Genomic DNA, 16,223 nt, shown 5'->3' with positions numbered 1-16,223 from the left:
CGGAGATACATTTAAACAGTTTTATTCTCCTGTTTTTTTTTTCATTCCAGAAACCATTACTACTATGCAACAAAGTAAAAATATCTAGTTTAAATAATAATTTGATACGGTCAGGTGGGGATGAGTGCACAAGTGTGTGTACACACACGCGCAGGCTCTGAATGGGATATTTTGGCGGAGCAGAGGGATAAGGCTTTTATTTTGTTGGTGTGTTGAGTTAGAATCGCCCTTCTCACAAATAATTTGAATCAGGAGTTTTGTTAAAGCTAATTTGTACAACTAGGCAACATCTTTTCCCCATATATTTATACACATATACACATCTCTAATATTTGCATTTATTCATCTAAAAGAGCTTGGAAAAAGGGTCCTAAGTCTTTGGCCAGTTAAGGTAAAAATCTATATTTTAAAGTAATAAAAACATTTGCTGTGGACAGAGACATGCAGACACTGTGGGTGAAGCTGATGGATGTTCCATTGCAGGAAATGACATGGGGTTTTCTAAGGGAAAGCCCAGCATGCTGTAAGGAGAGGGGAGGTCCCGGGAGGGAATTGGAGTCAGCATTAGGATCTAAGTGTCATAGGGGAATGTGCTCCCAAAAAAGAATATGGCTGTTTCTGTGTCCATCCTGAAGTGGTTACCATGAGTGTGTGTGTGTGTGTGTGTGTGTGTGTGTGTGTGTGTGTGAATTAAAAGAGGAGTTACGTGCTGGGGCATTTCTGGTATCTCAACTGGCATCTCAGCTGCTGGTGATGATGGCTATACCTTTTCCTCAGTATTCAATGGTACGTATTTTGAGTTAACAATCCACCCATTGGCTGAGGCAGGTGGATCATCTGAGGTGAGGAGTTCGAGACCAGCCTGGCCAATATGTGAAACCCCGTCTCTACTAAAAATACAAAAATTAGCCAGCTATGGTTGCAGCACCTGTAATCCCAGCTACTGGGGAGGCCAAGACAGGAGAATTGCTTGAATCCGGGAGGCAGAGGTTGCAGTGAGCTGAGATGGGCCACTGCACTCCAGCTTGGGCAGCAGAGTGAGACTTGGTCTCAAAAAAAAAAAAAAGTTATTGTGACATGCTGTACACATTCATAAATTCAGTGTCTCCCAGAAGTCTGAAATTTTTTTTTTTTTTTGAGACAGAATTTCACTCTTGTTGCCCAGGCTGGAGTGCAATGGTGTGATCTCAGCTAACTGCAACCTCCGCTTCGTGGGTTCAAGCGATTCTCCTGCCTCAGCCCAAGTAGCTCCTGCCTCCCAAGTAGCTGGGATTACAGGCATGTGCCACCACGCCCAGCTAATTTTTTATTTTTAGTAGAGTTGGGGGTTTCTCCACGTTGGTCAGGCTGGTCTCGAACTCCCGACCTCAGGTGATCCGCCCACCTCAGCCTCTCGAAGTGCTGGGATTACAGCCATGAGCCACCATGCCCAGCCAGAAAGTTTTAAGGCTATGATTATTAGACCACCACACACACACAAAGTACTTAAGTCTCGGGAATGCTATCCCTCATTGGCCTGGTATGACAAAGATAAAAAGAAGTCGGTCGTGAAAATTTCTGAATGTGGTTTAGGACAAGGAACCCCAGTAAGATTCAGAGACAGCCTAGAAAATTGAAAGAAAATTTTACTACCCACATATCACCCTTCTATAAAAAATAATAGAAGATGTCAAATATGAAAATAAGACTGTCCTCTAGGCCCTCAATTTTCTGTGTTGTGGGGGAAGGCAGACAGCTACTCAGCATTTATATCCCATAAGAATGGATAACACTAAAACAACTGACATCATCAAGTATTGGTTAGAAAGTGGAACTGATTCTCTCAAACATTTTCATTGTAGTTTAAGATGACACAACCACTTAGGAAAATGTCTCCCCATTTCATACAATGCCAAATATATACTTATTTTATAACCCAGAAAATCCACTCTTATGTACTTAAACTCAAGAAAAGTGAAAATATTATTACAGAAAAACATGTATATCTGATTTGTTCGTAGCAGGTTTATTCATGATAGCCTCAAATCAGAAACTGCTTTTGTGTCTATCAATAGCAAAGGCCTCAAACCTGTGGTATAGTCATAAAATTGAGTATTACAAAATAAAATTAATGAATAATAGCAAAATGATGTGTCACAAGCATGTTTAGTGAGTGAACATAAAAATTATATAATTTATAGTTTCACTTACATAAATGGTGAAAACAGACAAAACTCACCTTTTGTGGAAAGAATCAAAACCGTGGAAGCCTCTGTGTTCAAATACTGACTGGAAATGGGCAGGAGAAAACATGTTTCTGCCAGATCTTCTATATGCCTGATGTGCATTCACTCGATGTATTTTGCGTATACTATTTTTGCAAATAAAACTGAGATAAAGGCAAAATAACTCAAGAGAAAATAGGTAGAAATAGGTAGAGTTGGGATAGAAGCCTTGGAAGCTCCCCCCTACCTTGCCCACCTGGCACAGGCGGAGGAAGTCCTGGGACAATGCTGTGAGCGACCTGAGGGCCGTCCAGGGGAGCCCCGCCAGCCCATGCTGGCGCCCGAGCTGCCCGCCGCCATCTGAATATGTTGCAAAGACAGTGCTGGCCTGGCAACCGGTGAAGCTCCACGCCCCACCCCGACCCCCACTTCTACCCAAGTAGCAGCAACGCTAGAGACAGATGCCTGGGCGGCAGCGGTTAAGTCTGGCAGTTGGCCAGGCGGCCAAAGGACGGGAACTGGCCTTTCACCCCATCCCAGTTTCCATGGAGAACTCAACCACTATGGCCCCTGAGCAGACCTTCAGGTCTGGTGGGCTGTGCTCTGTGCCCGCAAACCTGACGCCATCCAGGGGAGCTCCACCTTCCCGTGCCAGCGCCTCAGCTGCTGCACAAAACTGCAAGTTGCACACGGGCAGAGATGACGGAGCAACCCCCGGCCCTCCGCGCCACTCACCCTACCTGCACACCTGCCACGCGGACCCTGGGGCCGGTGCCTGGGCGCCCAAGTCAGGCAGTCCGCACAGCAGCGGCACCAGGGTGAAAACCTGCTGCTCAGTACCATCCCGGTTACCACGAAGAGCCAGCCCCGGCGGCCCCTGCGTTCTTGGAGGAGGCCAAGTCAGAGCAACCCCTCAAGTGGGAGGGCGATGCACTTGACCCTGAGGACATCAGGTACCAGGCCCGCCAGCTCACGCCGGCATCGGAGCCGCAGCTGCAGTCTAGACGTGGTGCACCGGCAGCAAGTGGCTGGACACTCCAGACCATGCCCGCCCCCCAGTAGCGTGGATCCTGAGGCCAGACCCCCAGGCGGCAAAATCAGGCAACCGGCCCCGCCAGCAGCCGCTGTTTCATCCGTGTGGATACAGAGTGCCCAGCGCCAGGGCCCAGGATCCAGAAAGGTGTCCAAGAGGAGCGGACCTTTGAGGCCAGGTGGGCTGTGCGCTCTGCGGCCCTGAGGCCATCCAAGGGAAGCTCCGCCATCCTGCGCCAGTGCCAGATCTGCAGTTGCAAACCGCGCGTGTGGCACTGGCAGCAGTGAGGGCGGGTGGGGGAAGGAGCAGCCCCTGACTCTGCCTCCATGCCTCTCCAGCTACCTTACACTAGCCACACAGACTCCAGGGCCAGAGCCTCAGCGTTCAGCCAGACAATCCGCGAAGCCACTCAGGTGGCCGCGGAGGGCCCTTGCCAGCACCCTCTCTTCCGAGGAGGAGCGGGGCGGGCTGCAAGGCCAGACAGGCCCTCCTCCTCAGGCCGGGCTGGCTGCGCGCCTGCGATTCTGGGGCCGCCCGGGCGATCCCAGGAGAACCGGAGAGCCCATCGGCGCCTGCCCAGAGCTGCAGCCCTACCTGCCGGCGCGCGCCGCCAGGGAGCGTCTTCCGGGAGCCTGGCAGCAACCGCGGTGCAGGCGCGCGCCCAACGGCTTTGCGAGGCTCACTCGGTCTGAGAGGTCGGAGGCTGCCAGTGTCGCTGCTGAAGGCTGTGGTGGACCGGGCTGGATCGCGGATTGTGGAGTAGATCATAGATTTGAAATAGCGGATTTGGGGTTGGATCGGGGCTTTGGGGTTGGATAGGCGATTTGGGGCTGGGTCGGCCGGGGTCGGGGGAGGGGGGTGGTGAAAAGGTGACAGGGAGCTGCCCCCGCTCAAGAGCCGGTGGTTGGGGGTCTGAGAAGTAGTCACCGCCATGAAGTTATTCGGCTTCGGGAGCCGCAGGGGCCAGACGGCCGAGGGCTCCATAGACCACGTCTACACGGGTTCCGGATACCGAATCCGGGACTCCGAATTGCAGAAGATCCACAGGGCAGCTGTCAAAGGCGACGCCGCGGAGGTGGAGCGCTGCCTGGCGCGCAGGAGCGGAGACCTGGACGCCCGGGACAAGCAGCACAGGTAGCGGGGGCTCAGCCCGGGGTGGGAGGGGGTCCCCAGGCCCGGCTTCCCCGCAGACCCTGGGACGGGGCCTTGCAGGGCGCCGGGCACCCTCGGAGCGGCGGAGCCAAACGGACTCTCAGCTGTTTTCCATCCCTCATAATTCTCTGGCTGGAGCAGTTGGAGAATTTGAGTGATTTAACTCACAAAGTTAAGCATATACAGCGTTGTTATTTTTAACGTACGCTTTTAAAACATGGTTTATATACATTATAGGAGGTGCCTAATGAGAGAACTCGTTCCCCTATCAAAAATACCGTGAGTTATTTCAGTGGGCGAAAAGTTGTCAGATAAGAGAGCTTACTTGAAAAATATTTACTATATTATATATATATATTTTTTCAGATGAAAAGTATGTTTTCATTTTATAGGGAATTCATTATATATATATATATTTTTTTGAGTCGGAGTCTCGCTTCTTTGCCCAGGCTGGTGTCCAATGGCACAATCTTGGCTCACTGCAACCTCTGCCTGCCGGGTTCAAGCAATTTTCCAACCTCAGCCTCCCAAGTAGCTGGGATTGCAGGCAGGTGCCAGCATGCCTGGCTAATTTTTGTATATTTAGTTTCACCACGTTGGCCAGGCTGGTCTCGAACTCCTGACCTCAAGTCATCTGCCTGCCTCCGCCTCCCAAAGCGCTGGGATTACAGGTGTGAGCCACCGCGCCTGGCCTATGTTGTTTATTATATATCGTAAGATATATATATATATATATTACTGATATGTATACATATATAACAGATATGTTATATATATCAGTTATATATACACATGAGATGAAAAGTACATCTTCATTTTACAGAGAATTCTTTCAAATCAAATCATCAAACACTCTAAAAGTGGGCAAAGTACCTTTTTCCAGATCTACAAGTTATTTATATACATAGGAAAAAATCCTTTGCATTTCTGGTATAAGAATTTAAAAGAGGAATGAAACAGTTTTCTATCCACAATATTTGTGAGGATGTTTTATACTGCTGCTTAAAGTTTAAGTTGCTGATTACTTTTCAAAGTACTCATTTGAAAATGGTAAGTACTACATTTAAAAAGTGTGTAAGCCCTTTACCCACCAATTCCATTATACTAAAATACCCTTAGGAAATAAAGAGACATGCACTTTATTTTTCACAGTACTTACTTTAAAAAGAACCCATAGAATGGATCCTATAAATAAATTTCAGTTGCATCCATAGGATGGAATAATATGTGACCACTGAAGGTGGCAATAGATACAGAAGTACGTTGATGTGCAAAGATGTATTTTGTTATAGCTAGCGAGGAAAAAAAATTAGTTAAATTATACATACACATACTATGGTCTTGTTTTAGCAAAAATATGTACAAAATATAAAATTTGTAATTTCTGAGCATTTGTATTTTAAGTAAAGTTTTTTTCCTTTTTCTTATCTGTGATTGCTGCAGTGAGCATGTACAAAACTTCTAGTAAAAGTTTATTATTAATGGAATAATCCTTGGGAAGAGAGGAATATGAATCTTGTGCTGATGAAAATAATTTCTCACTTTCTATTGTTTATCATTATTGTGTGTGTTGTTATCTTCTTTGAGCTTTTAGCCTCCTCAGAAGTAAAAAGGGAATATTTTTATCTGTTTCCAGATTTTATTATCTATATATTTTATTATGTACATATGTTTTTCTTATATACTCATTCCATTTATGCAAACAAAGCTGGATTGATCATTTCATTTTAATTGTATTCTTTAAAAATAAAATAACATATAAATAATTACTATTGCAAAAATATTGCTTTATAGGAGTTTATTTAAAAATATTGAACTCCCCAACTGTATTTATCCATTCTTTCATTCTATTTATGGATCAAGCGTAACCTGAGTACCTGCTATGTAGCAGACATATTCTACCATCTCTCAGGACCCGTCCATCCTTAAACACTTCATGTTTACCTGTCCCGCCTGCACAAGCTGAGAGATTTAAAATAGGAATATTGGGACTTAATCTCCTTGAAACTTTATCTCCCACCTTTCAAACAAAAGCATTTCTGAAGTTAGAAAATAGAAGATAACCTTTAACTGCTCTTTCGAAAGTTTATCAGTCTTAAATACTAATATTAATCATTGGAAAGTCTTATTTGCATATATTCTCTAAGTATAAATATTGAATACAATGAGCCATATGTATTCATTTGAATCATGAGTTTCCTTTGGCTTCAAGTTGTTTGAAAATCAAAGAATTAATTTGTTTAAAAAATGCATTATTGTTATTTCAGTGCTCTTTCCCCATAGTACCTTTAAGAACTAAAATGTATTTAAGTTTCAGTTACATGCTTAGAACTGCCCTAGACCTGCTGAGTATACCATATTCTACTTAATGTAAGGTCTCATGGATTGCGTGATGCCCCGCTATTTTATATATCAATAAGATAATTTTTAAAATGCTACCAATTATAGTTATAACAAATCATGAATTATAAGTGACATTCCAATGTCAGAGGTGTTAAAATGTGACCTACTCGTTAAGTCATCCTGCAAAGTAGGTATAATTGTATCATTCTACCTAATTAAAATGGTTTTGTTTAGTAGTAATAGTAATAATTATAATATCTGGCTGGGTGCAGTGGCTCACACCTGTAATCCCAGAACTTTGGGAGGCTGAGGTGAGAGGATTGCTTGATGCCAGGAGTTTGAGACCAGCCTGGGCAACAAAGTGAGATTCTTACTCTACAAAAATTTTTAAATAAATAGCTGGGCATGCTGGTGCTCATCTGTAGTCCCAGCTACTCAGGAGGCTGGGGATGGAGGATCATTTGACCCAGGAGTTCCAGGTATAGTTACACCATTGCACTCCAGCCTGGGCAAAAGAGTGAGACTTTGTCTCAAAAAACAAAAATCTTAGAATTATTGAGTTGTTGTAGGAACTGTTCTACATACTTTACATAGCTTCTCATTTAAGCATAACGATGGTGTCCTATGAGATAGCTACTATTGTCATCTTTATTAATGAGGAAGTTGAGGCACAGAAAGGCTAAGCAATAGTTGGTAAGTGTCAAGGCTTAAAGTAGGACTCAAGCCCTAGTTGAACGGAATCCAAAGACTGAGCTCTTTCTACTCAAATAGGCTGCTGTTTTCATTAAGGCAGTGAGCAATAAGAGCTAGTAAGTATTGTACTTTCTTCAAAAAAATTATTTGTTTTGAAGGCAGAGGAAAAACATGCTATTCAATTTTTACAGTTACATGAATGATTGTATGTTTTGAGATATTGTACTACAGTTTCTTAAAAAATCCTCTTACTCTCGTAGAACTGCTCTACACTTGGCCTGTGCCAGTGGCCATGTGCAAGTGGTCACTCTCCTGGTTAACAGAAAATGCCAGATTGATATCTGTGACAAAGAAAACAGAACGCCTTTGATACAGGTATATTAGAGCCAACTATTTCAGCATGACATGGATTTGATTTACATATATAGAATTAAAATAAATTGATCTCATTTACATGTAACTAGTTGGTGAAACCTGTGGAATGTGTATTTTGAATTCTTGGAATTTACAATCTGTTTCTTGGTCTAACACGGACAGGCTGTCCATTGCCAGGAAGAGGCTTGTGCCGTTATTCTGCTGAAACATGGCGCCAATCCAAACCTTAAGGATATCTACGGCAACACTGCTCTCCATTATGCTGTGTATAGTGAGAGCACCTCACTGGCAGAAAAACTGCTTTCCCATGGTGCACACATTGAAGCACTGGACAAGGTATAGATCAATCAACTTTCTTTCCAAAATATTTGTTTTAACATTGACATAGGTAAGGGTCAATTTTTTATATGTGGAAGCTCAACCATTCCCTGAATGCAAATACAAATTAAGTTATTTTGAAATAACTTAATTGTCTAAGATTTTATTTTAAATATTGATACTTTTAAAGAAGCATTAAAGGGCACAGCTTTATAAAATGCACTTTGGAAAATATTTGTGAATTTGTTAAAGGTAAAACCTTTTCAACTTTTTTTCTACACAGGGTTATTCTTTTTTTTTTTTTTTTCTTAATTAGTGTAAAACAACACAGGAAAGAAAATATTCCCTGGAAATAGGCTTTATCTTAAAACTCAAACAAAACTAAAGCAACTTAGAAAAAGTGGACATGCTGCTGCTGCTGCTAATTTTCTGAAAAACTGATGTATTATCTCTCAGTGGCAAGGCTTAAGAGGGAAAAATGGGAGGGGAGAAAGAGAGCAATCAGAAATATGCAGGTCACTTGGATATTAGATAATGAGGGGAAATGCCAGGAAGAGGTTTTTTTTTTTTTTTTTAAGTTTGTTTTATGTGTTTAGACAAGGTGCTGTTTAGCTTTGGGTCTAATAATTTTTGGTTTGAAAAAGAATGAGTTGCAACTTGCCTAGAGACGAATTTTAGGAGGACTCTGAGGAAACTAGATTGGCAGTGAATATGTGGTGACGAAGTGAGAAACACTTCAGCAGAAGGTGGAACAAATTATTAACTGACTTATTGCTCATCCTGGCAGAAACAGCCACTTAAATAAGAACCTAAAGCCTCCTCTCAAATCTAGAATGTCTTAGTGGGAAGGTGGGAGATAAGGAGCTTGTAAATAGCAAAATCAAGTGGGATTTTGAGTTTACTTGTCCCTGTTCTACCCATAGCCAGGAAACTTAACTGGAGTTTTAATAAATGACACTCTCTCTTACTCTTTTCTCTTTTTGGCCACATCTCCAACTGATAAAGGAATTAGCCATGTGGGTGAGAGGTGAGACTGAAGTGATTGCTGCACTAATTCTCAGAATTGTGCATTACAGTGACCTGAGGACATTTTGTTAAAAATCTACAATTGTAGGCTTTCCCCTGAAGATTTTGATGTAATAGACCTAATAAGGCCTGAACATGTTTAAAAATGTTTTCTTGAAGCTGGGCAAAGTGGTGTATTCCTGTAGTCCCAGCTTGAGCCTAAGAGTTTGAATCCAGCTTGAGCAACATAGTGAGACTCTTGTCTCTAACAACAATAATAGCCAAAAAAAAAAAAAAAAAAAAAACCACACACAAAATAACAAAAAACCTTCAAGGTTGGGATACACTCTTGATTAAAAACCCCAGAATAGATAAGTGCAATATATAAATTTCTGTATCTCAAAAATGTAAGAAATCTCTAGAAGAGTTGGCATTTGATAGTTGCCACTTCCTTCAAAGTTCTCCTTTTCAATAATATTAGCCTGACTTATCTGTCTTTCTCTACATCTGTGACTGGGAAGTGAAAGGAAATATCATTGGCAATATCTCTCAGCTTACAGAATAACATGTTTTCCTTCCCACCATGAATCATTCACTACCATTCAGAGAGTCTTCAGAAATTTGCTTATGGGTAATCTTTCAATAGGTAGAGGCTGACCCTTTCATGATTTCATGTCCCTTTGTCACCACGCAGGTGATTATGTGTCAACAAATGTTCATTACAAGTTGGGCTTTCTCAATTAGAATAGTAGCAAATCCTAAACTTTTTTTTTTAGTTGAAGTTTTATTATGAACTATCTCAGTATGTTTAAGTTTATAGAACTTTAGCATACCCAAAATGTCAGTTTTAAACACTGAAATCCATGAAGTTACTAAGAATATAGATAGGAATTCTTTTAATAATTTAGTTTTAGCAGTCTTGTGAACCAATTATCTATTTGGTTAACAATCTGGGAAAATTATATACAAACATATTTTAAATGAATACATGTTGGAAAAATTCTTGAAGCAGGTATTGTGAGTCGTTTTAGCAATTTTTATTACATATGAGAGCCTGATTTTTTGGTAGAACATATGATACCAGAGAAAGAAAATATTTTACATGCAAATACTTGGATTATACACAACCATTTAGTAACACATTAATGGCGAATATAAAAACACAAGGGCCATATTCTAATGTGGTACACAGATTTGTTTGTTTTCCTCTATAAGTTGAATCAACATGTAAAATTTAGAAGACTCGTGAAGAAATGTGGACTTCAGGCTTATCCTAAAAAATCAAATCTGGTGTCCCCTGAGTTTCTATCATTCTTTGGTCTGCTGTGCAGAAGTTGCCCCTTTATAGAAGGCAGGTATTCTCCAGTTTGCTACTGTGCCCACCTTAGTACTTCCCTTACTCAGGCAACCTTCCTTTGTCCTTGTAAGTATCTGAGTTTACAACTCCTATGTTATAGTATATTTTGATAAAAATTTCAAGGTTTTTAAGTCAGCATGTATTTGTTTATAATATATAGTCTATAGAGTATATAAATCCCTCAGTTATGGAGTTGAATTTTAGAGTTTAGAATTTTTTAACTCTTTTCTTTATATATACCACAAATAATTCTCTGCCCATAAGAATGCCTAGAAGCCTTTTTAGGTTATTCCTGGTTATAGTTGGATAATTTACGAATATTGCAGACAGTACATCTTTCTCCTCAGTGCTCTTCCTTAAAGATGCAAGTGACTTATTGGCTTGTATAATGCCAGAAATAATCCATATGGATCAGTATGAGAACTTTTATTGATAAGCCATTATGTTTTTATTTCCAATTTATATTTTGTCTAAAATAAAAAATAATTTTAAGTAGCCATTTAAGTGGAAGCCAGTAAAAATGGATTTAAAAAGTAGAGCTGCACTAGGGTCCCGGGATTACCATTATAATTGAGAATAGTATTTCTTACTGAGTTTTGGTTTTTAAAATATTTGTTCTTAAGTTTTTTAAACCTATCTCTCTTACACAGAATATACTGAGCTTTCTAACAGTAAAGATAAAAATCTCTTCTCTTGTATTAGGGGAAAAACCCATGGACTACTTAATAATAAGGAAAATAAATGCATTTGAAGGCAATCTCTCTTAATTCAAAGCTCATTTCCATGGTGACCCATTTGGAGCAGGAGTGCCTGACATTGGCATCTGGGATCCTGACACCATTGATAGAAGTGAATCAAGCAAGTTTGTACCACCCAGAGGAAACCGCCACCTGTATTGGGAAGCTCTGGCAACTGTATCTCTGAAACTCTTAATTCCTCAAATGTTAATGTTTGCCACAAATAGTATTGTCAAAGGGGGATTAGGTAAAATTAAAGAGATTTCTTGATTATTGGACATAAAATACAGTTTTGTAATACTTCTCAAATACAGATGGTCATGGAGTCTTTCTCTTGGGGTATAATACTTCTGATAAAGCAAATATTCTTTGGAATATAGTTTAAGAAACACTGCTTTAGAGATAGTAATTTAGATCATTAATTTATGTAAAAAACTTAAAATATTTGCTACTGTGTCTTAGGGTTTTAGGCCCTTGCCTCAAGAAGCTCTTGGTTTCAGTGGGAAACAGTGAAATGACTACAATGTACCATGCTAAGTGCTGTGATCAAAGCAAGGATTCTTGGGACTGGTAAATGTTTAAAGTGAGTTTTGGCAATCACCACAGTTAATCCGGGGAGACAGAGGAGGGTTGTTTGCAAGGCAGAGCGCAGCACATCAGAAAGCACAGAGGAGTGAGAAGGAAGGGACTGCTTTTCATTTACTTCCTTTCTATATTGTATGTTGAAGTTCAAAGCATCCTAGAGAAGACTTTCAGTTCAGTTGAGAAATATGTAATTTTGTGAATTATTAATTTTTTTCTGCTGTTTTGTAGGACAGTAATACCCCACTTTTATTCGCTATAATTTGCAAGAAAGAGAAAATGGTGGAATTTTTATTGAAAAAGAAAGCAAGTACACATGCCGTTGATAGGCTGAGACGGTACAGTAGTTCTTTTTTTAAAAATAAAACCTGAGTATTCTAGAGTGGTCACTCAAGTCAGAAATATTAATAAGAAGATTAACATAATTATTGGCATATAATGAAAAATATCACCATGAATAATCAGATAGACCAGCAAATATTTGGACTGAGTAACATAAAGAATAGTACATAGTAGGATTCATCTTCTCTTATAATATACAGTGTTTGGTATTTATAATCAGATGTTTTTGGTACTGTAATCTTTTATTAGCTAAAGGGTTTTGTATTAGTTTTATTAATTTTTTTTTTTTTTGAGATGGAGTCTTGCTCTGTTGCCAGGCTGGAGTGCCGTGGTGTGATCTCAGCTCACTGCATTCTCCACCTCCCAGGTTCAAGCGATTCTCCTGCCTCAGCCTCCCAAGTAGCTGGGACTACAGGTGCACGCCACCATGCCCAGCTAATTTTTGTATTTTTAGTAGAGATGGGATTTCACCATGTTGGCCAGGATGGTCTCGATCTCTTGACCTCGTGATCTGCTCTCCTTGGCTTCCCAAAGTGCTGGGATTACAGGTATGAGACACTGCACCTGACAAGTTTTATTCATTTTTAAAGTGTGGACTTTTAGTTTATGACTACTAGCATTGTCATTATTATTATTGTTGTTGTTGTTGTTTTCAGCCTGCAGATAACTCTTATCTGACCCCTAGCTGATTTGACTAGGAAAGCAATGGGGAAATCTTCATCTAAGTCTTTGCCTACTTTAGATAAGTGACCTCAGCACAGTTTCTTGGCCATCGAAGGACTATAAGTTAGCAACTTGTATTATGTCTTACCCCAGTGGGACAAGAGGCTTCCCTGTTGTCCCTTTCTTTTAGCCTTGGTGACAATTTACAAAGATGAACACTTGAGCACCCTAGATGCTTATAGACCCAAGCTAGTACATGCAAATGGTTATTACATCTACACTGACAGGCGGATATTAAATTGGTAAAGTGTATCAAACTAGCTTTTTAAAAAAGTCTTTATTAAAGTTCTTGAGTGGAGTTATTTCTTTGTTATTTTAGGTCAGCTCTCATGCTTGCTGTATACTATGACTCACCAGGTATTGTCAGTATCCTTCTTAAGCAAAATATTGATGTCTTCGCTCAAGACATGTGTGGACGAGATGCAGAAGATTACGCTATTTCTCATCATTTGACAAAGTAAGTGTTTATGTTAAAAGGCCAGTTAATGCTAAATTGAAGTTTAAAATAATTGCAACTACTCCATCTTATACATTAGGTGAGAGTTCACAGTTTGGTTCAGATAGTTTGAAATAGCGAAGAGTTAGTCTGCCTTTTAGCCAGAAATCAAGCAGAAGTCTAGATTAGTTAGAAGTAGAGTGCAAGATTTTTTCTGGATTTTTGAGACCTTTATCCCTAGGGATCTCAATGTTATTCATTTTATTCTAAGTATAATCCCCATGCATGGGATAAAAGGAGCCATGTCTTTGATTTCTTTTCCTTTCCTTTCCTTTTTTTTTTTTTTTTTTTGTAGAGACAAGGTCTCACTCTGTTGCCCTGGCTGGTCTTGAACTTTTGAGGTCAAGTAATCCCCCTGCCTCGGCCTCTGAAAGTGCTAGCCACCATGCCTGGCCTGACTTTTCTAATTAGTTATTGAGTCTTGTAATGTCCAGTTTAACAGAAAATCTTGTCCCCTGGGGCTCTCTCCTGTGTCTTCCTTCTTTGAATTTTCCAAGAAGCTAAGGGGTTTCCTAAGTCCAAGGAAGGCAATCTTTCTTCACAAGTCAGAAGAAGGGGAAAAAAGGCCATTCTGATCATTCTGTTGTTTCCATGGACTCACTTGCTGTATTATTGCCATTATAACCGGTCCTGCAATCTGATAATGATTGACCTTTGCCACCAGGATGCCTTCACTGATTCAGACCCCTCAGTTTTCATGGTGATTCATATATAGAGGTCAAAGCTACGGTGTTTATTAGTTTATGTACTTGTGCTCGGTCATTGTTCCCAGCACCCTGCTCTGGCAGCTAGGCCTCCTAGCTTTATCCACACAAGTATTGAGCAAGTTGATGCTCACCGTACACTAAAAACCTTATTTGGAGCCCACGTCTTAGCTAGACTTTGCCTAGGCCTTCATGGTATGTTATCCTTTGAGAGCCATGTTTGTCTTTCCTTTAACCAATATTAGTTGGGATTGTTCTCAATAGTCAGGGATGTTCAAATAATGTTGCAGGAAGAGATCAGAGTTCCCTGTCTCTTTTGCTATCAGATCTGTACCTTGAGGCTTTTTTATATCCTGTGCAGCAGCTTTGGTTAGATAGCGGAATGTTCCATGTTATCTTTCCACTGAGTAGTGGGAACCAGCTTGCAGTTGGCCCCTCAAGTAATGTGTCTCTATAATCATGAAAATCTCCTGGGCTACTTGCAGCTCTTCCTCAAGTTTTAAATATATTTTAAAATTCTACCTCACAGGAAGCCATTCAATAAAATTCTCTGAATCTGAAGTAAGTGAGTTGGATTTAATAGAGCTAAGCCTCATCCATGACTCATGAGTATCCATGTATCAAACAGGGCTTTGTACTTATTTCAACAGCACATATTTTAAAATTGGATCAATACAGAGCAGATAAGCATGGCTACTGCCTAGGGATGGCACACAAATTCAGAAAACATTCCATATTTTACATAGTCCCAGGAAGGCCATTTGACTATTTGTTGAGTAGCTCCAAGGAAGCAGTGTGAGCAAAACCAAAACAGGTGACACGCAATATTGAAATTGTGATTATCGCTATGAAACTATTGATGTATGGTGATCTCTGAAATGGGAACAGAGCTGAGTAATAAGGGGATGTTACATGTTGTTAGTACATGTCTTGGAAATGAGAAAATGTCAACTTGCATTTCCTTCATGGAACTGAAAAACAATCAAAGCAGGGTTTTGTCTTGTCTGTTAGTTGGAGAGGACCATGGAGATCCAGCAGCCAAGCACAGATCTGCTGGCTCAGAGTTTGGGGAGGTAGAGAAGGAGTGGTAGTTGTCCAAGCCAGGTTTTGACACCTATTAGTTTTCTGCCCTTGGTGTGATTGATGAGCTCAGTGATGAGCTCACTAAATTTATATATATATATAAATTTAGTAATAAGTTATGAATTAGGTAAAATGCCCTGAATTACAAGCCACAATGAATACAAGTAATAACCAAAATTAGCACTTAATAACATTTTCTGAAAACTGCAACATTTGAATATTAGAACTTACAGAAAAACACACACCGAGCATTATTTGGGATTCCAAAATGGTTTCAGCAATAAAGTTCAAGAATAAATTATTCCATTGCTTTACTATTTCTCTGAACATTTAAACATGTAATCTCATTACATCTTCCAAACAACTTAGTGAAGTAAGGTAGCAGAATCCTTATTTTTTAGAAGAAGCCTAAGAGAAGCAACTTGTCTGAAGACAAAATACCTACAGAGCGAGGTATTTTGGTTACAGAGCGAGGACTTACTCTGAGTGCAGGACACTTTGCATGATATCCAGCTAACTAGAGTTCATTTACTGAGCTGTGCTTCCTCCATTTATGAGTACTTCACTTTCTTTTCTTCTTTAATTATAAGCTTAATAAGCTTGTAAGGTTTACAAATTTGAAGTGTATGGGACATTAAAATTCTGATATTAGGTCTGATATTGCCTGAAAGGGTTTTGGAATTTAATATGTTTGGTAAATATTTTTTATTTCAGTATAAAAATAGCAATTTTATTTATTACTTTTGTATACGTAGAATTCAACAACAAATTTTGGAACATAAACAGAAGATACTTAAAAAGGAGAAATCAGGTAAGACTTCTGATTGTGAATTTCTTACTTCTCTTGGTGGTCCTACTCTTGATAAGAAAGTACAAAGTAAGATGTAAGATTAAGGTAGTTTCAGTCAAAAAAGACCAGTTTAAAAATATGTGTAAATTGAAAGTGTATATATGTATATACATATGTAAATTAATTTTTAAAATTTAACTTGTTTAGTTTGAAATTCAGATTTATTTAAGAAGGTAGTTGTAGCTAATTTATAATCTCAAACATTATTGTCTGAAAACATTCATTT

The 16,223-nt window shown here is 39.9% G+C and overlaps 2 pseudogenes across 1 annotated transcript in view; both read left to right on the top strand.

Moving 5' to 3' along the window:
* Positions 4,263-16,223, top strand: part of ANKRD20A8P (ankyrin repeat domain 20 family member A8, pseudogene) — a 96,148-nt pseudogene continuing 84,187 nt past the window's right edge. Inside the window, exons 1-6 of the transcript NR_003366.2 lie at positions 4,263-4,371; positions 7,686-7,800; positions 7,963-8,136; positions 12,031-12,137; positions 13,184-13,321; positions 15,903-15,973. The product of NR_003366.2 is annotated as an ankyrin repeat domain 20 family member A8, pseudogene (transcript). The remainder of the gene's footprint in view (positions 4,372-7,685; positions 7,801-7,962; positions 8,137-12,030; positions 12,138-13,183; positions 13,322-15,902; positions 15,974-16,223) is intronic.
* On the top strand, positions 14,699-14,805 carry RNU6-1320P (RNA, U6 small nuclear 1320, pseudogene; annotated as a pseudogene).

The sequence above is a fragment of the Homo sapiens genome, chromosome 2 (genome assembly GCF_000001405.40).
Source record: "Homo sapiens chromosome 2, GRCh38.p14 Primary Assembly".
NCBI lineage: Eukaryota > Metazoa > Chordata > Mammalia > Primates > Hominidae > Homo > Homo sapiens.
The sequence above is the reverse complement of the archived record's forward strand: the minus strand, read 5'-3'. Positions and strand labels throughout refer to the sequence as shown.